Source organism: Homo sapiens, chromosome 4 (assembly GCF_000001405.40).
Source record: "Homo sapiens chromosome 4, GRCh38.p14 Primary Assembly".
Classification (NCBI taxonomy): Eukaryota; Metazoa; Chordata; class Mammalia; order Primates; family Hominidae; genus Homo; species Homo sapiens.
In genome coordinates this window covers 189,600,151-189,624,836 of record NC_000004.12, presented here as the reverse complement: position 1 = coordinate 189,624,836, position 24,686 = coordinate 189,600,151, and the positions used below count along the sequence as shown (strand labels likewise).

Here is a 24,686-nt window from a genome sequence, read left to right as displayed (position 1 = left end):
CACACTGGGGCCTGTTGTGGGGTGGGGGGAGGGGGGAGGGATAGCATTAGGAGATATACCTAATGTAAATGATGAGTTAATGGGTGCAGCACACCAATATGGCACATGTATACATATGTAATAAACCTGCACGTTGTACACATGTGCCCTAGAACTTAAAGTATAATAAAAAAAGAGAAAGTACTCAATACATATTGAAAAAGAAAATGAACAATTTATATAAAATATGAACAGTATGCTTATTGGATAATGACAGCTGAAGAGGTAGATATTCAGAATGAGATTTTTAGGTTAGAATAGAAGGGGAGATCAACCAGGTACAACTTTACAGGGATAGAAGCAAAGTCATGTCTATAGTGGAAAGAAATATTGATGTAAATATCAGGCAGTAGCTTGACAGCAGTACCTGTGAGGAAGGCTAGGGGATGGAGGTAGTATGTGACTCAGCTTCTACAACTGTTAACTTGCAGGGACTATGGATTACTTACATTCTAATATTTAGGAATTAGCCTGGTATCTGGGCATGAAGAGCACTCATCAAAGGTTTGTTGAATGTGGGAGATTGTATTTTCCAACCAAGTGTGATCACAACGTCTTCCACAAGCTCTTTATCACGTGACCCTATCAAGCAGTGGAGTCTACCTCTCCTCCTCCTTTAACAGGGGCAAGTATAATGACTGCTTTGAGCAATGAAATACAGCCAAAATAATACTGTGGCCCTTAAATGCTCTCAAAGCTGCTGTTTCCTCCTCTTTAGAAGTCAGCTGCCATGTTAAAAGTGTGACTACTTTGGGATTCTCAAGCTATTAAAAGTCCAAGCCACTGATCACGAGGTCAGGGGTTCGAGACCAGCCTGGCCAACATGGTGAAACCCCGTCTCTACAAAAATATAAACATGAGCCAGGCATGATGGCAGCTGGCTGTAATCCCAGCTACTTGCGAGGCTGAAGCAGGGGAATCACTGGAACCTGGGAGGCAGAGGTTGCAGTGAGCCAAGATCACGTCATTGCACTCCAGCCTGGGTGACAGAGCAAGACTCCGTCAAAAAAAAAAAAAAAAAAAAGTCCAAGCCAAGTGGCAATTTCCTTGGAGACTGACAGCACATGTGGAGGCAGTGGGGGGAACGATGGCTGAGGTGAGTGAAGAGGCCACCCCACGTGAGCTTTCAGATGGTTCTAGTCACACTGCCGTCTAACTTGCAACCACTTGGGAGATTCCAATCAACAACTATGATAAGGCCAGTCAAACCACAAAACGATGAAATACACTAATAAGCTGCTGGCTTAAGTCATTCATTTTGGGAGTATATTTTAATGTAGAAATAGATAAACGAAACACTGAATGGCTGAGAGATTCTAGATGTAATTAGATTCTAGATGAGTATTGATGTAGATGGCATCCATTTGCAATCTCTATTTCTAGGAAACGGAAGAAAAATGGGAAAGAAAATATGCTCATTTCATTAAACCGTAGAGTGCTTTTTAGTCCATTTTTCCTGCTATATATAATGGAATACCACAGACTGGGTAATTTATAATGAACAGAAATTTATTGACTCACATTTCTGGAGGCTGGAAAATCCAGAATTGAGGGGCCGGCATCTGACAAAGGCCTTCTTGCTGTGCTGTGACATGAAGACACCACATGGAGAAAGAGCAAAGAGAGGGAAGAGGGGGGGAATGGAGGGGGAGAGGGAGGGGGAGAGGAAGAGGGAGAGGGAGAGGGAGACCTGTTTCTGCATAACAGCACTAGCTCATTCAGGAAGGCAGAGACCTCATGATCTAAGCCCCTCTTAAAGGTCCCACCTCCCAATATCATCACAATGACAGTGAAATTTCAACATGAGTTTTGGAGGGACAAACATTGGAAGGGTAGCAGCTTTTACACAGAAGACTGAGTAAAATTAGTTCGCTTTACCCCACAGGCAGAACTGAGAGCATGAATGAAATTTTCTGGGAAGCCCCTGCCCTTTAGAAGAAACATTGTAACCTTGTAGTGACTGGTGTTATCACTCCTGAAACCAGCTGCTCTGCCAGGCTGTGAGTTACACAGTCAAGATACTTGCACCTAGTGAAAGCTTAAAGGGCCATCCACCTGGAATGAAGCAGGAGGGAGTCATGTTTAGGGGAGGGTTGTTGGCGGGTGGAGGTGTGGAAAGGTTGAAGCAAGGTATAAAAATAACACTGGTTAACTCTAGAAAGAGTGTGTTTACATTCGAGTTTCAAAGGGCATTTATCTTACCTCACAATGTTAGCATATTAACTATAGAGAGATTATAATGACATCTCGTGGATACTACATTTCTGTTGATTAACTTATGTGAAGCCTAAGACTTACTTTGTGCATTAAAGAATTAAGCCAATTACCTAACAAACTTAGACTTTTCTGTACTTTCATTTATTTTTTAACAGAAAATGTAATGTAGACTAATTGTTTACAAATGTCACACATGTAATCACCCAGGAAGCTTCTTTAAAAAATCTTAATGTCCAGGCTATTCTGTGTAATAATAAAGTCAAAAACTTTTAAAATGTATAGTAAAAATAAAAATCCAGAAAGGGTGTTGTTAAAAATAATCCACAAGCCTGTAGAGAAGGTCTTGAAGGCAACAATTATGACCACGTTAGAGAAAATGCATTCATGAAAACAAGACCCACAACCATTTTAACACTGGAAGTTTCTCTGTTCTGAAGACTATGTGATTTAAAGGGACTAGAGTTTGTTTGTAACAAGAAACAAGTGGAGGCCACAGCTACAGGCAAATGCATTGGACTAAATGGCCAGGTGTTTATTCATTTTACCTCTGTGGTATTTTCTATATCTGCTAGTGAAGATTATTGGCGTTACCACTTGAGAAACTCTGAGGGTCAACGTTTTAGTGTTTTTGATTTCTTTGCAGCACTGAATGTAGGCATTGTTATATTCATGGAACATGTAGAAACACGTGCTTCATTAACTAAGTGGAGACTCAGTCTACTGAATTTTTTTTAGCTGTTGTTCGTGATAGTTTAAAATATAATGGCTTCTAATGACTTTTAGCGTTAGCTATATTATTCAATGCTTTGTTCCTCACACTAAAGCACTTTCAAAGATTGCTTTATATTGCATTTAAAAGCTTGGTTACCTAAGTTGTTAACAAAATATTTCTGTAAGTTAACATTTTTGTTGTTGTTGCTCAGATAATAATGCCCATGCATGCCTAAACCGTGGTTTCTTTAGCTGAGAGCAAGTCTGATAGCTTTTATAATACTTCAAGACCTATACACACTTTCTTAGTTATAAATGAACATGATAGAAAAGTTATTTATTTGAGACAAGTCTAATAGCTGAAGATTTTTTAAAAATAGTAGTGTTTTAAGGGTAATATTGCCTTGGCATTGATTCTCTGTTCAATATTTTGAAGAGTAAAATATGATAATTCATGTTACAAATTAAGAGAAGCTAAACCCAATATAAATGACAAGATAATTTAAAAATGACTTATTTCAGTAATAAAACAGGTTTCATCCGTCTCTTCTATAGTTTAGTCTTATCTGAGAACTCATCTATTTTGCTTTACTGCACTGACTGGATGAGCTATTGATGAAGAAATTGGGAAACTTTTTTGAAATCACCAACTTTTACGTGTCTTATGTCAAGAGTCGGCTTCCATTGTCTTCCAAGAATTATGGTACACTTCAAAAGTCAGAGCTAGATAGATTCTTTTGTGAATGGAGGAACTATCCCAAGATTAGCTTTTGACTGTGATGTTTACGTGCTTTTTGATGCCATTGAATGCCATCATTAGCTTAAATAGTGCTTGTTGGAGCCAATGAATAAACTTAAATGACTCTAATATTAATAGAATATAGAAAGGAATAATAGCTATTAGCCTAAATAGCTTCAGAAGAGTGAATCCTTTGCCCAGAGACAACAGATAAGTAGTCTGCACTGATTCCTGAGTGGGCGCTGTGTGTTCATCAATGCTTTCCCGAAGTTTATTTGAAAACTCTACATCTTTAATTGGTTACTTTGTTAATGCACTAATAATACCCATTGTATTAGCACCCATACATGTCATTAGTTTATTAAAGTAACATCATTACCATGGAATAACATGATTTATATTTTTTCAAAACAGTCTTTTCAAAGACATGGAACTAATATTGAATGCATTTCCTGAAAGCGCTATGAAGACACTAATGGGTAGCACTTTATAAGTTTTAACATTTCTGGAATAGGGCAGAATTCGTTGATATTTACTCTATGCTTCCCATTCAGGGTTCCTGTTATACATTTCTATCATTTGATTCTTTTAACATCTTATTGCACTTAACTACTAACATGCCCTGCCCTAGTGCCTAAAGTCGAGCCTGCCCATCTACATGTAAATGGATAACATTTGTGTTTGTTGGAATGAATAAAAAAAGATTAATTGGTTATGCAATCACATTAAAGTATCTATGGGAAGTTTTAACTTAACCAAGAGGCTGGACAGAAACTACAGGGCCAAAATTTGGTAGGACATATAGAAAACTTGTGAATTTTTGTTTGTAATAAGACCCTAGGCATCAACAACACTATGAATCTGTTGAATCAAGTTTAGCCTAACTGCCTCCTTACGTATTTTCTGTTCAGCCTAAAGGTTTCTCTGTACATAGTGAACTATAATCTAAAGGGAGGTGTAAACAGATTGTAACCTACTTTTGTGCAATTGCTGAGTTTTGGTCAATCAAAGGGGGCCAGCTGTTCAAGCCACATTCAAATAAGGCAAACACTGAGCTGTAACCAATCCAGCTGTTTCTGTAGCTGGTTTCCATTTTCGGTATATCACTTTCCTTTCTCTGTCCATAAATCTGCTATGACGTGGCTGTGCTGGAGTCTCTCTCTCAGCCTTCTCTGATTTGGGAGGCTGCCCGATTGGCGAATTGCTCTTTGCTCAGTTAAATTCTGTTGAATTTAATTTGGCTAAGGTTTTTATTTTAACACATTATAGAGGTGCGGATAAACAATGATAAGATGTCAAAACCCTTCTGGGGAGCACTGGAAGCCTCTTGCTATGATTCTATGATATAATTCAAACACCATATTTTGCTGACAACTTCCTGAGTGATATTGGAAGTACAGATATACTGCATTTCTGGCCAAACAACCATGACATACACTGTAGATTTGGAATGAACGCTATTAAGATAACCCAACCCTCTCTCTAGACAGGCAGGCAGCCAGCCATGTGTGTCCTCTCTTCTTCTTTATCACCAAGAATGACTGGGAGCTAGAGCAGCAATGTTGATGGGCATTGATCTGTTTCAGAAACATCTCAAGGACTGAGAAATGACTTCGGGCATTCCCTTTTCAAAAGATGCTATCTCATTTCCTTACTAAAGAGATGAGAAAAAGGGTGGAAATTGAGAGATGCAAGGTAAGAGCTCAAATAATGTGAATTAAGTCTGAAGGAGATTTTTTTTCCCCTCCTATGAGGTATTTACTAGCTGATAATCCTGCAGTGAAAGAATATCCAACCAGTGAGAGTTAGGAAAAAATATGGATTGTTGATTTGGAAGGAGACTAATAAACTATCCCTGCCATAATTTTTTTTCATTTTACACCCCCTTAAAATAACTAAGAAAAATATTACTTTTATAAAACACTGCAGTGAACACAGCCCTGGAATTCTGGTATTATAACAACTTTCAGGTGGAGGCATAAAGTGATATTCCAAAATGTTAAAAATCATCAATACGAGTAAAAATCTGACTTTGAATATTGGACTGCAGTGTTATTACTTCCTCTTGGTGGTGTGTTTCCAATTTTAGGGACTGTGGGGGAAAGACAAGCTGCGTACATACATGCATTCTCCCAATATCAGCCCCATTTATTTGGATGGATCTAATGATATTACTTTCAAACTTAATGCCCCTGAGATTCCTTAATAATCTCAAATTCTATCAGAAATGCCCCCACCATCAAAACTATGTCTTATGAATTCATTTCTTTGATTTGTAGAGTGGCAGGGTACATAAAGTTAACATTTGTCACAGTGTTGCATAACACCTTCATTAGGCCAATTACAGAGAGTGGCTTGAGTGGGCAACCCGTGGGCAGTCATGGTCCCGTGTATCTTCCCACCGGCACTGCTGGGACCAGAGTGTGGGTGACAGAACAAAAGGATTCCGTCCAAATGTGTTAGCAGGCCTCTTCAGGTAGGCTGTGGGAGGAGAGAAGAGGAAGGATGGTTCAATAGATTATTAAGAGAATGTTTCAACATTAAAAATATGGGGCAATTATATGAACACTACATGCTGCTAAAAGTAAAATATACAATAGAAATGTTCTGAGGAAGAAAAACACATTCAAATGCAAATGAAGAAAACCAAAATGAGAAAATAATGAGCCAAATAGCAAAAGTTAAAACTTGGGTATGTTTGTCTGGCAATAAATCTCTTCTCCATTTGAAAAACAACTAAATGTCTCTATTCCATTATACTAGATTTAAAAATTCTTAGAGTTTGAGTAGTTTTTTTTAATAAAGTCATATACACATCCAAGCATAATAATTTACTATTCACTACAGTGCGTTCAGCATAGTGTGTTATATTCAGTATATACGTAAATGCCTCAAGAACATGATCATAATGCTGATTAAACTCCTCAGTAAAACATTCTCTCAAGACAAACTTTGCTTTTCTATCGTTCGGATTTTGTTTAGGAAGAAAATTTCAACAAGCCGGCCACATAGACAAACTTCGAAGACAAAGACTTTTTTGAAATAGAAAGTTACAGAGTTTCTCTTTTAAAAGTTCCTTGTGTTTATACATCTTTGGGTGTTGCTCTTCTTTCATTATCAGAGACAGCAGTGCCTCAAGTCTAGTGTCAGAGGCATCTCTCTGCACCCGAAGCACTTTGTCAAAGTCAGGAGGGCTTAATAAGGCTCGATTTTCACTGAATGCATTTGTTAGGCTCTTGAATGTTAAATCGCAAGCTGAATCATTGTGCAATTGCTTTCTTTTCTTTTTTTTTCTTTTTCTGGCCAAGTCAGAAATGGCTCTGCAGAGACAAGCTCTGAGTTATCCATTAGTGGATTAATGAATGACAATTTGTACTAAAACTAATCTCTTTTTTCCTTCAAAATGAAGCTCATCTTCCTCAATGTGTTTTTTCCACGAGGTGCATGAAATTATCAACATGTTACCAAGAAGATGAATTCTGTGTGTGACCCGTCAGCATCGTCGATACGTAACAGTGTTATGGCAGAGCTCCAGCATAAAGCCACAGCATGACACCAGGGTTGGAGAGGACCTAATACCTGCAGTCTTGGGCAGCCAGGGGATTTGTTGCTCTACACCAATTTGCTCAAATATAGAAAACATATATTTACTGTTTCCTGTAGATGTATCAGCAGCTCCTTTCCCAGGGATGGTTGAAAAGCTTTGGCTCCGTTTTGCTGTCTGCTCTCTAAACTTTCTACCCTTCTTTAACTTGCTGACTATCCATTTGGATGCTGGCTGACTGATTTCTCAATGAACCTCCTCTTCAAATTGGGCTTTCACAAATTGAACATACTATCTGTGGTGGGTAGTATTGTCCACAGGTATCCACAAGTGAGGGAGAAGGCAGCATATTGAATATACTCTCTGTGGTTGGTAGTGAGAGGTGACAGCGTGCTGGCAGTCCTCACAGCCCTCGTGCGCTCTGAGGCGCCTTCTCTGCCTGGGCTCCCACTTTGAGGGCACTTGAGGAGCTCTTCAGCCCACCGCTGCACCGTGGGAGCCCCCTTCTGGGCTGGCCAAGGCGGGAGCCGGCTCCCTCAGCTTGCAGGGAGGTGTGGAGGGAGAGGCGGGAGCGGAAACTGGGGCTGCCCGCGGCGCTTGCGGGCCAGCTGGAGTTCCGGGTGGGCGTGGGCTTGGCGGGCACTGCACTCGGAGCAGCCGGCCAGCCCTGCCGGCCCTGGCAATGAGGGGCTTAGCACCCGGGCCAGCGGCTGCGGAGGGTGTACTGGGTCCCCCAGCAGTGCCGGCCCACCTGTGCTGCGCTCGATTTCTCCCCGGGCCTTAGCTGCCTTCCCGCCGGGCAGGGCTCGGGACCTGCAGCCCGCCATGCCTGAGCCTCCCACCCGCTTCACGGGCTCCTGTGCCGCCCGAGCCTCTCCAATGAGCGCCACCCCCTGCTCCATGGCGCCCAGTCCCATCGACCACCCAAGGGCTGAGGAGTGCAGGCTCCCGGCGCGGGACTGGCAGGCAGCTCCACCTGCAGCCCCTGTGCGGGATCCACTGGGTGAAGCCAGCTGGGCTCCTGAGTCTGGTGGGGACCTGGAGAACCTTTATGTCTAGCTAAGGGATTGTAAATACGCCAATCGGCACTCTGTATCTAGCGCAAGGTTTGTAAACACACCAATCAGCACCCTGTGTCTAGCTCAGGGTTTGTGAATGCACCAATCCACACTGTATCTAGCTACTCTGGTGGGGCCTTGGAGAACCTTTGTGTGGAGACTCTATCTAGCTAATCTGGTGGGGATGTAGAGAACCTTTGTATCTAGCTCAGGGATTGTAAATGCACCAATCAGCGGCCTGTCAAAACAGACCACTGGGCTCTACCAATCAGCAGGATGTGGGTGGGGCCAGGTAAGAGAATAAAAGCAGGCTGCGGAGCCAGCAGTGGCAACCCGCTGGGGTCCCCTTCCATACTGTGGAGGCTTTGTTCTTTTGCTCTTTGCAATAAATCTTGCTACTGCTCACTCTTTGGGTCCACACTGCTTTTATGAGCTGTAACACTCACCGCGAAGGTCTGCAGCTTCTCTCCTGAAGCCAGCGAGACCACGAACACACCAGAAGGAAGAAACTCCGAGCACATCTGAACATCAGAAGGAACAGACGCCAGACGCGCCACCTTAAGAGCTGTAATACTCATCGCGAGGGTCCGCGGCTTCATTCTTGAAGTCAGTGAGACCAAGAACCCACCAATTCCGGACGCAGTAGTATTGTCCACGGGCATCCACAAGTGAGGGAGAAGGCAGCATATTGAATATACTGTCTGTGGTTGGTAGTGTTGTCCACGGGCATCCACAAGTTAGGGAGAAGGTAGTGAGAGGTGACAGCGTGCCGGCAGCCCTCGGTCGCCTTCAGCACCTCCTTGGCCTTGGCGCTCACTCTGGCCCTGCTTGAGGAGCCCTTCAGCCTGCTGCTGCACTGTGAGAGCCCCCTTCTGGGCTGGCCAGGCGGGAGCCGGAGCTGGCGCCCTCAGCTTGCGGGAAGTGTGGAGGGAGAGGCGCAGGTGGGAATTGGAGCTACACACTGTGCCTGCGGGCCAGTGCCAGTTGCGGGTGGGCGTAGGCTAGGCAGGCCCCACACTCGGAGTGGCTGGCCGGCGCCACCAGCCCTGGGCAGTGAGGGGCTTAGCACCTGGGCCAGCAGCTGCGGAGGGTGTGCTGGGTCCCCCAGCAGTGCTGGCCCTGCTGGCATTGTGCTCAAATTCTCGCTGGGCCTCAGCTGCCTCCCTGCAGGGTAGGGCTCGGGACCTGCAGCCTGCCATACCTGAGCCTCCCCCCTGCGGTGGGCTCCTTCATGGCCCGAGCGTCCCTGATGAGCGCCGCCCCCTGCTCGATGGCTAGGGTCCCCTCGACCACCCAAGGGCTCCTCAGCCGCACTCCTCAGTGCGGGCAGATGGCGCAGGACTGGCAGGCAGCTCCACCTGCCTCCCCAGTGCAGGATCCACTGGAAGAAGCCAGCTGGGCTCCTGAGTCTAGTGGGGACTTGGAGAACTTTTATGTCTAGCTAAGGAATTGTAAATGCACCAATCAGCACTCTGTGTCTAGCTCGAGGTTTGTGAACACACCAATCAGCGCCCTGTATCTAGCTCAAGGTTTGTGAATGCACCAATCAGTGCTCTGTGTCTAGCTAATCTAGTGGGGACTTGGAGAACTTTTGTGTCTAGCTAAAGGATTGTAAACGCCCCAATTAGCACCCTGTCAAAAAGGGCCAATCAGCTCTCTGTAAAACAGACCAATCAGCTCTCTGTAAAACGGACCAATCAGCAGGATGTGGGTGGGGCCAGATAAGGGAATAAAAGCAGGCTGCCCCAAGCAGCAGTGGCAACCCGCTAGGGTCCTGATTGACACTGTGGAAAGTTTGTTCTTTCACTCTTTGCAATAAATCTTGCTGCTGCTCAATGTTTGGGTCCACGCTGCCTTTATGAGCTGTAACACTCACCGCAAAGGTCTGCAGCTTCTCTCCTGAGACCAGTGAGACCACGAACTCACCGGAAGGAATGAACAACTCCAGACGCGTCACTTGAAGAGCTGTAACACTTACCGCGAAGGTCTGCAGCTTCACTCCTGAAGCCAGCGAGACCATGAATCCACCAGATGGAAGAAACTCCCAACATGTCTGAACATCAGAAGGAACAACCTCCGGATGCACTGTCTTTAGAAACTGTAACAGTCACTGTGAGGGTCCCCGGCTTCATTCTTGAAGTCAGAGAGTCCAAGAACCCACCAATTCTGGACATAGCAGCATATTGAATATACTCTCTGTAGTGGGTAGTATTGTCCATGGGCATCCACAAGTGAGGGAGAAGGTGGCACATTAAATATACTGTTTGTGGTGGGCAGTGTTGTTTACAGGCATCCACATGCGGGAGATGGTAGCAAATTGGCATTTACTTCCCATAGAAATATTTTAGGAGAGAAGTTATTAGGGTTTTTGAAATAGTGTTTATGTTTTAGTGCATGCCCTTTAACATCTTCCTCCTAGCAAAAATAAAAAATGAAATAAAATAAAATATATAGATAAATAGCCTCCATCAATGAACATGTAACTTGTGATTAATAAGTTGTTACTACAAATAAGAAAGAGTTGAGTAGTTTTAATGGTCCTAGTTCACATACTGTGGTGAGCAAGGGATAGAAGTTGAAGATCCTTTGAACAAAGCAATGTTCTTCTTGTGTAGCCTCATCCTCGTGCTTATAGAAACCAAGGTTTCTTGATGAAGCTTCCTTCTAAGTGGGCATGGGAGAAGCAGGGCAGCTTACAGCTCTTCCTGAGCTGCAACCTCTGGTTGGGGACAGATTCTCAGCCTTCTGGAGTCCCTGTTGGATGCTGGCTCTTTGTTCTCAACACAGTCCCTGGTCACCCCACCTGTGTTCCCCAGAATCCAGCTTTTAGTCTTGGTAACTTCACTCTTCCCAAAGGCAGAATCAGCTGTGGCTCCCCAGAGCAAGCTGACTTGCTTCTCAGAAACCCCAGAAATAAACAGTCTTTGAATCCCAAAATGGTGTACTTGAAGGGGCCTACAGCATTCAAATTTCATTCAAATCCAGAGCTTAAAGGAGTCTAGGTTACCCAGAAGCAGATAACAAACAGGAAAAACTGCTCTGTGAGCTGGTTATGCAAATATTCTTTCAGATACATGGAGCTTCTGGAATGAAGGAAGATGACGGAATTAAGTCACGTGTGTGGTTGGCCCTGATTGCTAAGGGGAGGCATTCTGTGAAATAAAAATGACTTCCTGTCAAGGGAAAAATCAGTGTCTTCCAGAGAGGGAGGAAGCGGGAAGTCCCAGTCTAGCAAAGACCACAGCTTGTGCCTGTAGCTGTTTTTAGTTCTCTAAGCCTTTATTTTGCTCAGTTCTGACACCAGTGTTAGCCACCCGCTAACCCCACTCTTAGCCACTCGCTGCAGTCTTCCTAGGGGAAGGGCTCCTCTTCCTATGGGTTGGATGAGTAACCACAGTGGGCTCCTGGTTCTAAACTGCCCCTCATTCCTGTGTTGTCTCCACCATTTTCTTCCTCAGCCTGGAAGCTGACACTTGTAATTTGGCCTTAGGCCCTAGTTAGGAGTAGCTCACGTGGGGCCATGGACCACAGCTAAGCCCAGGGATAGAACTGTACTTTCAGGTAATAGGTTTTCATCGTAATCCTATGTATTTTATTTTATTTATTTTACACACTGATAAAAATTGCTCTAAGAAAGATTCCATTGACTTCCTCAGACTAACAAAAGTTCTCATGGCCCAGAAAAGGTTGCTTCTTCCTGGCAGTGGGCCTGCTGCCCCTGCTTCAGTGATTCTGGTGTCCTTCCACCCTGGGACCAGGTTTCATTCATAACAAACCTGTGCCTTTGTCAGCACAGGTTTGTAGCCCGGATGACATCTGCCATCCTCCACAACGGAGCTCAAATGCCACTAAAACATTAATTTCCAGACTTTGTCCATATTTCATTTTTACCTGTTGTTGTCATGTTCCTTTTTTCAGCAATAATGAGAAGTCCTGGGCCTTCTGTCCTGGGTCGTATCTAATTCATCTTTTCATCTCAGCCATTGTTTGACAGAAATGAAATCTTCAATCAAAATTTGATGAATGTTTGAATGATGATGAATCTTGTGGCACAAGAACCTACTTTCCTTTCTTCCTATCAGGGCACCAGTGGCCCTGCAGCTGCAGGTGCCACCTCCAGCCAAGCTGTTCTTCTGGGTACCCCTGGGAGTTCCTGGTGGGCTCAAGTAAGGTAAGACAGAGAAGAAAAAAATGACATGGGAGAAAAAGAAGAAGAAAGGAGGAGATAGAGAAACAGGAAAGAGAGCAGAGAGGAAGAAATTGTGGAGTGGAGGGCTGCCCTGTTCCCCACCTCAGGGACATAAGTAAGCTGCCTGTACAGGTTCACAGAAAAATGGATTTGATTCCAGAGACCTTCCTCATTGTGTATATTTGCACTATCATGTTGTGTAGTTTTTAAGAACCCATAAAAAAAGCAAAACCTCGTGGGCCTGTAATGATCTCTACAGAATGTCAGATAAAAAGATGAGTTCAATTCTACTATATTTAAAAAGCCAGCAGGATGCAATGGTTCACACCTGTATTCCCAACACTTTGAGAGTTCACTTGAGCCCAGGAGTTCAAGGCTGCTGTGAGCCATGATTTCACCACTGCACTCCAGTGCAGATGACAGAGAGAGACCTTCTTATCTCTTAAACAACAAAAAAGCCATCAACATAAATGTTAACAGTGTGCTGTGGTCCATACCATCCTCTCTCTCTCTCTCTGAGATGTCTCTACATTCCAGTGGAGAGGGAATATGAAATCTATTGTCAGCTAGGCCTGGGACTGGTCTTCCCCAGAGGCAGGATGGCTATTTTGGCATAATTTAGACATTGACAGAAAGCTGATTTGGCCCCCTGAATATCTAGAGTTTTCTCTCTAGTCTGATATTATGCCAATTATGGTATACTATGACAAGTTCTTTTGGGTCTCAGAGTCACCTGCTAGTACATGGAGGAACATATTAAGCCTCTGTCAGCCCATCTCATCACACCTAGTGCCTGGGTGTATGCCGGCGGGTCCTATAGAATAGGTATCAGCCCATCTCATCACACCTAGTGCCTGGGTGTATGCCGGCGGGTCCTATAGAATAGGTATAGAACAGGGTTTTGGTTTTTGTTTATTTTATGAGGGGCTCTGGAGCAGGAGAGCCAGAGCATGGGGGGAGGCTATCAAGGACAGCTCAGTGCCATAGGGTGAGAAAGCCTACGCCACCAAGTGATGCTGTGTGTCTCCTGAAGTCATAAGCGATAAGGTTTATGGGGAAACAGAGGAAATCACTCAACTAAATATCATCTTCAATTTCCCCTAATTTCTGAAGTTTGGGAAATGCTGAGACCCATGACTTTTCAAATTATGCATGGTCTTTTTAAGTTAAAAAAGAGAAGTGGGTCAATGAATTAGAAGGGAAAAATAAGACAGTCTTCTCCCTTCTTTTATGTGGCAGGCAGGGGTGGCAGGGAGTTACTTCTGTAACTCGAAAGGCTTCTGAGTTTTTAAAAGGAAATTGTTGTCATTGTTAATCAGGGCAGGGTCTTCTTGCCCTTTCTTGTAGAATAGCTTGGGTTTGAATTTTGGCTTTAGCCCAAAGTTTCTGGGTTACGATTGCACACAGCAGGCTTGTGAGTGCGGGTGTCAAGAAGGAGGTGGGATTTTCATAATTCTACTCTCTCAGCTCTCAACTTTGTGAAAGTGCCATTACCACCAGAAGTACTTCTCTATCTGCTCAGGTCTTCCTGCTCTACAAATCTCAACAGACAATGATGAATCATCCCTGAAGACTGCTCCGCATCATACATTTATCCGTGTTTCTCAGTCCTGGGTTGACATTTTCCTTCTCTCTCTCTGTCCCAGGATGTCTCAAGCTCAGCACTGTTGACATTTTTGGTTGCATAATTCCTGGTCACAGGGGGCTTTCCTGTGTCTTGTAGGATATTTTAACAGTATCTGGGCTTACATAAAGCACAAAAAGGGCCTGAAGCTCTGAAGGTTGGGGAAAGCACACTCAAAATCCAGAGCCTGGTCAGTGAGGCTCAGGCCTTCCCTGAGTCTTTGTCCACGATATCAAGAAACCGCAATGAAGACTCAAAAACTATGGAATATCTGCTGTGACATCTGCCTCTGAATTGTTAGATATTAGCAAAATAATATGGCTTTTGCTGGCACCTCAGATGCCGGTGGGCTGTCATGTGGAATGATTGTGAATTTCTGTAAAGAGCCAAGCCACCTGAGGCTTGGTGGGCGGACTGTTACGATGCGTGGCTGCGTCCATTAGCCGGGTGTTTCAGTAGACGAAGCTCTGGGATGTGACACTGAAGTCAGCAGGCCCAGGAAGCTCACCACACCTCTTGAAACTGCAGCCTGTGGCACAAAAGTAAAATGGGAATAGATTAGTCTTTTGGGAGCTAATCTCCCAGTTGAAATGCAATAGAACTTACAGCAAGTGACAACTTTCTAAATTATTTTCTTATGCCTCATGCCGTTCTTTTGTCTCAATTTTTAGTGTTTCCACCTACTAACTTCATTCTTTCTCCCGCTATTTCTAATACATCGCCAATGATGTATTTTCAATAAGAATTCAATTACCTAGAGAGGCAGATGTGCTAACTGGCAATCTGAGGGTTTTTCTACAAGTCGATTGCAAAGCTGACTCAAGGTTCTAGCCCTGCTACTGTCAGGAGAGACTCACTGTCAACAAGCTGTTAAAAGTGAAACTTCATAATGAGGGAGAATGTATGGAACATCAAGTAATCTCCTTGTTCTTACCAATTGCCTCATTTAATTGGCACTGTTTTATTGAATTTTTAATAAAATGAAGTGAGATTTTAATGTAATCCCATCTACTTTAGACCTAATTCAACATATTAATTTATTATGAGTCTTTATTTGTTTTTTATAAAGTTATGCATTGAAAAGTTTCCCAAATTGCCAGTTATTTGTAAACTTTAAAAAACTTCTCCAAAGTAGTTTTGTTATTTGTAATAGTGCAAAAAGCAACGCAAAACCACACAAGAGCATTTTGTTGACTGTCGCCGCAGTTAAGGTACTGAGTGTTGTTAAGGGAATGTATGTTTATATTTGCTAAATTTTCATGAACTTGGTAATTGAGCCATGATTATATTAACCCTTTAGATTGACAGAACTGTGGCAATAACTATGTAGTCCTGTGATAGGCCTGGACGTTGAAAAGGTGAGTGGCTGACTTCATTTAATTGTGTGATCTGAAGTGGGTCTCATTATAAACCATACACCTGATTTGAGTCATACAATGTAACTTTTAGTGAAAGTTGTACAGGTTTTCCTGAAAAAATGCTGAAGGTGCTTTTGCCTAGTAACTGTATTCTGATTATTGTATTTCAGGGCACTCAGGGAATTAGCAGCTTCTCAGATGGAGCACGTAACGAGCTACCAGTGTGTAAAGTCCCCACTATTTTAACAAGGAGACACTAAAACCAGAAAGACATTTCCAGTCGCCCAGATCCCGAAAAGTACATAAAAATCACCTCAGGACATTTAGTGGAACCCATGAATAGCTTTCGGTAAAATGCACAATTCATGTGTCTATAATTTTCTAAAAATTTGGTTCTAAATACCTCTTAAATTTCATAAATAATGTATGTTAATTTTTTAAAATATTAGACAATAAGCATAGAGAAATAAAAAGTTAACTTGTAATTTTATACCCAGAGGAAATTACTGTTGATATTTTGTTGTAGAATCAGAGACATTTCTATTTTGTACAATATTGTGAAAAAAAAACTGTTCATAATATTTTAAAATAAATTTTCTAGGTAATAATGTAACTAACAAGCACATTACTAGCAGCAGCACTGATTAATGGCTGCAGAGCATCTTTTGGTATGGGTCTACTGAAATGTATTTAACCAATCCTCAAAGTTGGTTATTTAATTTATTTTTAATATTTCTGCTACCATAAATAACGCTGTGCTGAGCACTTGCACTTCAGGTTTTCTGCGCTTCTTCACTGTGGTCTTACGATAAATATCTAGAGCGAAAGGGAATTTACACGGCTAAAAAACGACTCCTAGAGAACTTCAGAATCTCCCAGACAGCCTATTCAATTCTTTTTGTGGTTCAACAAATGGAATAATATTTCAACCGGCACTTCACAGAAGAGATGAACAAAATGGAATAAAGAAAGAGAATGAAGTATGCGCTCACTCCCGAATCCAGAGCAGCAGTCTCACTGGTGCAGACACGTCCCTGAGGGTAGATGTTACTTATGGGGGATCTGGCGTCAGCGGCTGTCCTGGACCCTGGCCACACTATGCCGTCCTCATCGTTCCTGCTCCAGGAAGAGAAACAACACTGCTGAGTTGCTGCTGGGCGCATGGCCCTGGCATCGTGGCCTCCATATGTCGGTTATTTACAGGGCTTTCCCTGCTGCACTGGTTTCCCGTGGTGGCACAACAAATACTACAAATTCAGCATCTAAAAAAAACAGCAGTTTCCCCTCTCCCGGTGCTGGGGGCTGGAAGTGTGGAGTCAGGTGCAGCAGGGCCGTGCTCGCTCTCGAGGCTCCAGAGGAGAGCCCTTCCTCGCCTCTTCCAGATTCTGGTGGCTCCGAGCTCTGTTGGGTTATTTTTTACAGTTTCTATTTCTCTGATGATATAGTCAATCTTTCCACTCGTGTGAAGGGCACTTACCTTCATCTCACTGAGCACAAGTATGCGAGCGTCGCTTCAGAGTCTTTTGGGGATAACTTTGACATTGGGTCTTTTCAGGCTTGGGATCTTCTCTCTTGAGAACTGGTCACATTTTCCTGGTGATTTATATGTCAATTAATTTTCAGTTGCATCATGGTCATTTTCGACATGATTTTGTGTAAGCTCTGGGTCTTCATTTTAAAGTGTAAGTTTTATTATTATCCAGGTATGGTGAGGCCACCAAAGGAAGTCACAATTGCCAGCTCTCAAGAGGTGGGGTGTGCCTCCACATGCAGGGACACCATGAAAGCACAAGGGTTGGTCATGGACAGAAGGAAGGGGAGGAGAAGGTGGCAGGCACCTTCATCATGGGATCTGCAGGAAGGAATGGGCGAGGCAGCGTATGCTGACTTAGGACTGGCCAGTTTGAATGCTTTCAGCAGGCTCTGGGTTGGGGGCCACCTGAGTTGTTGGGCACCTGGCCCTGAGACGATCAGGGAAGGGGCAAATGTGTTTGGTGCTCAAGGGCCAGACAGGGGAGGTGGGGGTGGGCTGACTCCAGCTTGGTTGGTTTCCCCTGAAGGCTGGTCTGACAGGTGAGTTGTTTGCTATCTCTAGGAATCAGTTAACCCTGGGAGGGGTAGTCTGTCCCAGGTCAGCAAGGCCCCAGATGCCAAGGCATCAAGAACACAGAATATAAGAAACTAGAAGGAATGCAGCCTTGTTAAAAACCCCTCGGGGAATGTTGTTTATTTTTTCCCCTCAGGCAAATCCATGTGGCTTGGCTCAGAGGGCAAGTTCTGTCTCCCTGTGCGTGGGCGGGCCCCAAGGCCTTTGCTAAGCTGCTCTGGTGGCTCTGATTTTGTCCTGTGCACAAACAGCTGGGGGGGGGAGGTGGGGACCAGGACTGTGGGGGTGCTACACACAGAGCCAGACAAGCCCATTCTGCAGCTCTCTCCTCTAAGGGCTCCCCCCACCTCCCTAGCTTACAGGGGCTCCTTCTCCTGATCCTTTGGCCAGAAGGAAGGGGTTTCTTTTAAAGTCCTTGCCCTGAGGCACCACACAGATGTGGCTCTATAACTGGTGCCACCTAAAGGGAAACGTGACAAGAAGAGAGAGAGAAGGAGGGAGAGGGAGAAGGAGGAAGATGGAGGGAAAGGAAGCTGGGGAGGGAGAGTAGGGAGAGAAAGGGGAGAGAAGAGAAAGGGAGGAGGGAAAAGAAGTGGGGAGGGAAAAAGAGAGGGACAGAAGAGCTGGGGAAAGAGGGGCGAGAGGAAGGAGACAGGAAAAGCGGAGCAGAGGAGGGAGGAAGAGGGGCGGGAGAGACGGGGATTGAGAGAACACACACAATTTCTTCCCCCCACGCTTTGAAGACAGGATCCTTTTTGCATCTGGCCACAGACACTGGATTTCTCCTGGGAATTAGCTGCTTGTGCCACCACAGCTGGCGCTCCACTGGGGAGAGCCAAAAAACAAAAAAACTAACCCCTCAAAGGAAGCACTTCCTTTATATGGACTGAATCGTGTCCCCCTTGAAACTCACAAAATGAAGCCCCAGCCCCAGTATCTGAGAGTGTGACTGTATTTGGAAACAGCAGCTTTAAAGACGTGATTGAGGTAACATGAGGGCATCAGGGGCCGCAATCTGGCCTGTGCCCTGATGGGAAGAGGAGACTGGAACACGACACACATACTGCAGGAGGCACAGAGCGAAGACGCCACCTGCAAGCCAGGGCCAGAAGCCTTGGAAGAAGCACCTGCACACCTGAATCTTGGACTCCAGTTTTCAACACCGTGAGAGAGTAGATTTCCATTGCCAGCCAGTCTGTGGCCATCTGCAATGACTCTAGCACGTTAGTATACCCCTCTATGGGTTGCCTCCCCGAGTTTTTATTCCCTTCCCAGTCTGTCTGCTTTTGTGGATGTCTGGAGCTCTTGAGCAGTTGCTTTCTGATTTTGCCCAGAGCTTTCAGTTGCAATCAGTGAGGAAGAAGCTGCAGGAACTTGTTTCATCTTGACCATCCATACATATTAAACTGATGTGTTTGTTACATTCTACCGTCTCTTGAGTGTAATCAAATAAAAGAGCATCTGATGTAATAGGAAAATAGAGCAGGCTTTGCTAACCAGCTCGTCCTCCCTCCGCAGACACCACACAGAACGTTGGTTCCTGGAGGCACCAATCCATGTTGAGGATTGGCATAATGGGAACGGAATGATCTTGGGTCATAGGTTTTGCTTTTTTTTTTTTTTTTTTTTGCTTCTATTCAGAAAAAAATTATACTTTAGAATTCTGATTAAAAATCTGAGAAATGAAATAAAGAGTATGCCTTTTAAAAAATGTTTCACAAGAACATTGCAGTTTTATTCTAGAAGTTGTAGCAGGGAGATTTTGGCTTCATGTAATAGAAAGTCCAATGAGAATAAGATTAAACACTAAGGGAAATGGGTTTGCTGCATGTAAGGAAATCTACAAGTGGGCATGGCCTGGACTGGCTAACCCAGGGGATTAGCCAACTCTCTTACCTGGGGAAAGTTGTGGATATTTTCCATGTAAATTCTCCTGAGTCCTGCAGCCTCAGTGAGAAAGTGTGCATGTGTGTACTCACGTGTGTGTGTGTGTGTGTGTGTGTGTAATGTGATGTGGGGGCTTTGGACAATCCATTCTCTTCTGTGCAGAGGTGAACTTTCACTTTGGAGAAACTGAACAACTGTCTGAGTGAGAGCATGCCCTTATCATCCTGTGTGATCAGTGGCACTTTGCTAATGATCCAAGAAGTGAGAGACAACAGGTGGAGCAGAAATTAGAGTCCACCAGTCCATATTACTCCCACTGGGGAGGGCTGCACCCAGTGATACACTGAAAAACCTGTAACACGTCACTCCCTGAAAAAGGCTGTGCTTTGTAGCATTTGTCAATTTCCGTGGTCTAAATATTGACCCACTTTTTGTTCCCAACACGATGTCCCTAAAAATGGCAATGGGAAGCTTCGCACAGCGGGCTCTCATGAGCCGGCACGAGCTGGCTCCAGCACACCACCGGTTTCCAGTTGAAATAGTGAGAATATCTAGTTTTTATTGAGAACGTGGCTGTGCACAGCCTAGGACAGGATTTCTCAGCCTCACTTCTACAGGCCTTCTGGGCTGGCACATCCTCTGTTATGAGGCCTCACTGTCCATGGTAAGATGTTTGGCAGCATCCTGGTCTTTACCCACCATGGGCCAGTAGTATTCTCCCAGTTGTGACAACTAAAATATCTTCAAGCTTTGTCAAATGTCCCCTGTGGGCAAAATTGTGCCCGTTGGAGAACCACTGGCCTAGAAGAAGGGTGAGTTGGCTCAGTATGGAAGCTGTGTATTTGTTTTGAGGTCCTGCTAACATTTGAAGGCAAAGAGAAGGCCTGACCTTTGCTGTGGGCTTGGGCTTCACAAATGCCCGTCAAAGAATGGTCTGTGCAAAGGCAGTGATTTCACATACGTCTGAATGGGGATTTATACTTTTTTTTCTAGTTGGTGTGTGTCAGGTGTAGAATCCCTACATTCTGTTTGCTCTATAAGGTAGTATTTTAAACAGTGATTTAAACATTTTAAACTATTGATTTTTCATCATAGTTTTTGCTCCAGTAGAAATTAGGAATTGATCAATTCTTCTTAACTTCAGGTGTGCAAAGCAATTGGCTGATTAAACCTACAAATATAGTAGAACCCTTATGTTATTTTCTGGATGAGAACTAAATGTTAAAATTTGAGAAAGGGGAGGAAAAAATTCTTTATGGATCTTGGTTAGGGGTTTCAAATGTCAATCAAGATATAAATGAGATGAATGCCTTGTGGAATTAATTATTTTTATGACTGTGTTATGATATGAAAATGTTATGATAGGGAAAAATGCAAGAAACTGTTACCCCTGTAGGAATATTGACTTTGTAGCCTTGGTTAGAAGACAGGCTCTGATGGAAAAATTTGCTATGATGGATTGTGCCATGGAGACTTGACTCTCTCTACATTTATGGCACTGAAGCCACCTCTGTGGTGTGCAGTGTGGACACACGCCACGTCTCTCAGACGAAGCACACCTGGCAGTGGGCAGGCCCTGGCTGTGCCCTGCTGCTGTGGCCTGCCCCTTCTTCCTCTAGTAGGGCGGGGACCCTCTAACCAGGCAGCTTTGGACTAGACCAGTGCTATTCAAAGAATGATCTGGAGACAGTGACCAGGAGTCCTTTGTGGATCTGGGGACCTAACATTAGGAATGATAAGTCCAGAAACTGACCATTTAGAAACTTGTAAAGAAATTTGATGTTGCCATGTGAAGTAAAAATGTGGTCTGTTTTAGCAATTCATTTATTTTGTAGTTTTTAATAGTGTTGGTCTACAATAGATTAGGAAAAACAAAACCAAACAAGAAACCAACCAACCTCCTCCAAATCTGGTTCTTTTCCTCCAAATACTCAGAGAAGCACAAGAATAGACTGTTTACACCCTAGAGAGTCTTGCACGGTCTGTTTCCAGCTCATACACCGTGAAGGCTGCTATGAGAGTAATAAACTGTGTTTCTTTCAAGGGAGGTGATGAAAATTGGAGAAGGTGGTGAGGATGCTTGATTGAAGTGAGTCCACAGCAGGCTTCACAGGGGCTGTGGAGGCCTCTGCCAGGTGCATGTCCAGCCCCCTCAGCTTCTTTGTGGACATCCTGGGCCCTTCAGGGCTCTCTCGGGGTAAGGTGTGAGACCAGATCCTCACATAACTTCCAAGAGAACTGAAACCAGGACAGGGATGCAACACACTCACCTATTCACTCTCCAGAACGATTTTCAGCATTTCAGGTGGAACTGAAATCTCTCGGACTCTGAGGCCTGCTCTCTTGTAACCTCTAACTTAAGTGCTAGAAGGTATACTAAATGCATTTTCAGTTTTGTTGCTATATTTGCCAGTGTCTGAAACTCTCCCTATAGTTCATAATTGTAGATAAAGAAGTAAAAAAAAAGAAAGCATTTGTTCTGTTGAAGGTAAAATATGCCCACATGTCATATGCAAAATGACATTGATGTGAGACCCATTTCCTCTCATTTACATAAGACAAAGTTCCTTCCATGCGAAACTTCTCTAGAAACAATATCTGGAAAAGCACAGGTGAAGGAGAGGTATGACAGAGGAATCCCAAATTGGATACTGAACGCAGAACTTGTTGCCCTTGTCTAGCAAGTTCAGATTGCCATAAGGAAGTCACCATGAGTGTTAGGTTAAATGGCCATTGCTACATTAAACTTTCTCTTAATATCACTTCAAACATTTAAAAATATATATTAGAAGAAATGCTACCATTTTCAATTAATTCTATTTTACTGGTTTCTCTTTCTGTTAATATAAATATGCATAGTTCTTTTCTTCAAATACAAAGCTGATTGGAAATTTCCAGGAACTAATTATCAAGAGGAAGAAGAATATTAACAATATACCTTGAAGTTTGTATTTCTTTTAGTCATAGCATTTTTAGGTATTCATTTAAACATGAAAAATATTGGAACAATCTTGTTTTACCAACAAAACAACAGATTCCTAGATATAATTTTTATTTAGTCAGGCTTCTCATTTTTTTCAGTCCTCAATTTTTTTCTTCTATTGTCTAAAGGAGGTCTTACCATGCTGCATCCCTGTTGTCTTCAGTAAGGATGGCACCAAGTTCAAGAGACTGAAGAAGAGACCTGGAGCCAGTGAATGAGACAGAGAGTTTACTGAGGGGACTTACATACAGGGCAGTCCACTGGTGGGAGGCTGGACATGGACAGCAGAACTGCTACCATTTATAAAAAGCATGCAGTCTATACAGACTAGGTGAGCCTGCATGCTCAGGGTATGCTTAAATTAAGTTATTCCTGTCAGGTGTGTCTACCGTACCCTCCTCCCCAGCAGACCCTGGAATGCCGCTCACATTCTCACCGTGTCATTCCTCCACGACCTCCCTGGGCCAGGTATGGGGAGGAACATTGCAGCCAGATCTCACAGCAGCAACACAAATTACAACAAAACAGAATAACAAATACAATAACAGTCATAACGTTTTCCCAAGTGCTTGGGAGTTGACCTTACATGCTCAGTGGCAGGCCTGCGGTGGAGAGGACAGCTCTTCGCACACCCAACAGTCTGGATTTTTTCTGGAGAGATGCCACCATCTGCACCCAGTCGGCAAAGAGGTTTGCTGCACACCATCCAACAAGATGACACCCAGGTATTTGATTGATAAGCCTGGCCCCTGGACTTTGTGTTGACCACCCATCCTCTGTTCTCCAAGTGAGACAGCAAGGTGATTGTTGCAGTTTGTAAGCTGGAAAAACACTCGAAGTTAATGGAACACATGTACCCTCCCCCTCTGGGATGATATTTCCAGGGGAAGATGGTAAAGGCCCGTTGTTCTTATGTTTGAGGGAGCGACAATATTTTGCATATTACCAAGTGACTAGTGTCACACCCAGTGGGTCACCCTGCTGGCCCTTTGGTTGCCCCCTTTCCTTTGGCGCCCTTGACTTTCATCCTTGTAGCATGCACCCCTTGCCCATGCAGTTTCTTCATGTCTCCTAAGCCAGTGGCTGCTCGGGCCACTGGAGACTCTGGCTGTCCTGCCTAAGGGTTCAGGAGAGACACTAGCACACCGTACCACTGACTGGATGCTGGCTCTAAGATGACATCTTTCATGCCACCAGTGAACAAAAGCTGATTTTTGGAAACTAGATAGTGCTCAGCATAGATAGCATGCTTCCTTCTTAATTCCCAGAGGATGTCTGGCACTTTCGTCATAGTCTGGTGTTGCAGAGGAGACGTGGGGATGTCTGCTCAGCACGGACAGCATGCTTCCTTCTTAATTCCCAGAGGATGTCTGGCATTTTCGTCACAGTCTGGCATTGCAGAGGAGACGTGGGGATGTCTGCTCAGCATAGACAGGATGCTTCCTTCTTAATTCCCAGAGGATGTCTGGCATTTTCGTCATAGTCTGGCGTTGCAGAGGAGACGTGGGGATGTCTGCTCAGCATAGACAATATGCTTCCTTCTTAATTCCCAGAGAATGTCTGGCATTTTCGTGGTAGGCTGGCATTGCAGAGGAGACGGGGTGGGGGTGGTGTCTTACTCATTTGGCCAATTCCCCTTGCAGCCACAACCACCCAGCTACCATGGGGATGGCTCAATCCTCATTACTGGAGCTGCAGCGGTGCTGCCTCAGGACCGGGTGGATTGTGGTGGACACCTTTCCACTCACCTCAAATGCAGAGATACAGCACCTCATGTCCCCTAGAGGTAGAAGCCACCCGTGATCAGCTCTCCCCCCTCCTCCTGAAACTATTTCCCAGCTCCACCAGTTCCACAGTGGTGCTGCCCTGCGCTGTGTCATGCTGCCATCTTTCAGGCAGGGGAGACAGTTCCACAGTGGTGCCGCCCTGTGCTGTGTTGTGCTGCCATCTTTCAGGCAGTGGAGACAGTTCCACAGTGGTGCTGCCTTGCACTGTCGTGCTGCCATCTTTCAGGCAGGGGAGAGTTTTGTGGGTCTACTCCCTGAGGGCGTGATTGGCCTGCCTTTATCTTGGTGGTGTCCACTAGATGTGCATCGGGGGCTGGTAACCTCTATGGGCTTATCTCAGTCCTTGTCCTCACTCTCCTCCCAGCGGGGCTCTCCATGGGGCCCTAGGACTTAGGGCCCCAGGATGATTGGGTCATGATAGTCCTGACTAGTAGATGTGGCAG

At 44.4% G+C, this 24,686-nt stretch overlaps 1 annotated feature.

Moving 5' to 3' along the window:
- Positions 21,718-22,917: an enhancer, noted in NCBI's record as "CDK7 strongly-dependent group 2 enhancer chr4:190523074-190524273 (GRCh37/hg19 assembly coordinates)". NCBI's record gives its function as "activates an origin of replication core promoter dependent on BRD2, BRD4, P300/CBP, MED14 and CDK7 cofactors, with strong dependence on CDK7, by STARR-seq in HCT116 cells {active_cell/tissue: HCT116}" and the evidence as "EXISTENCE:reporter gene assay evidence [ECO:0000049][PMID:35650434]".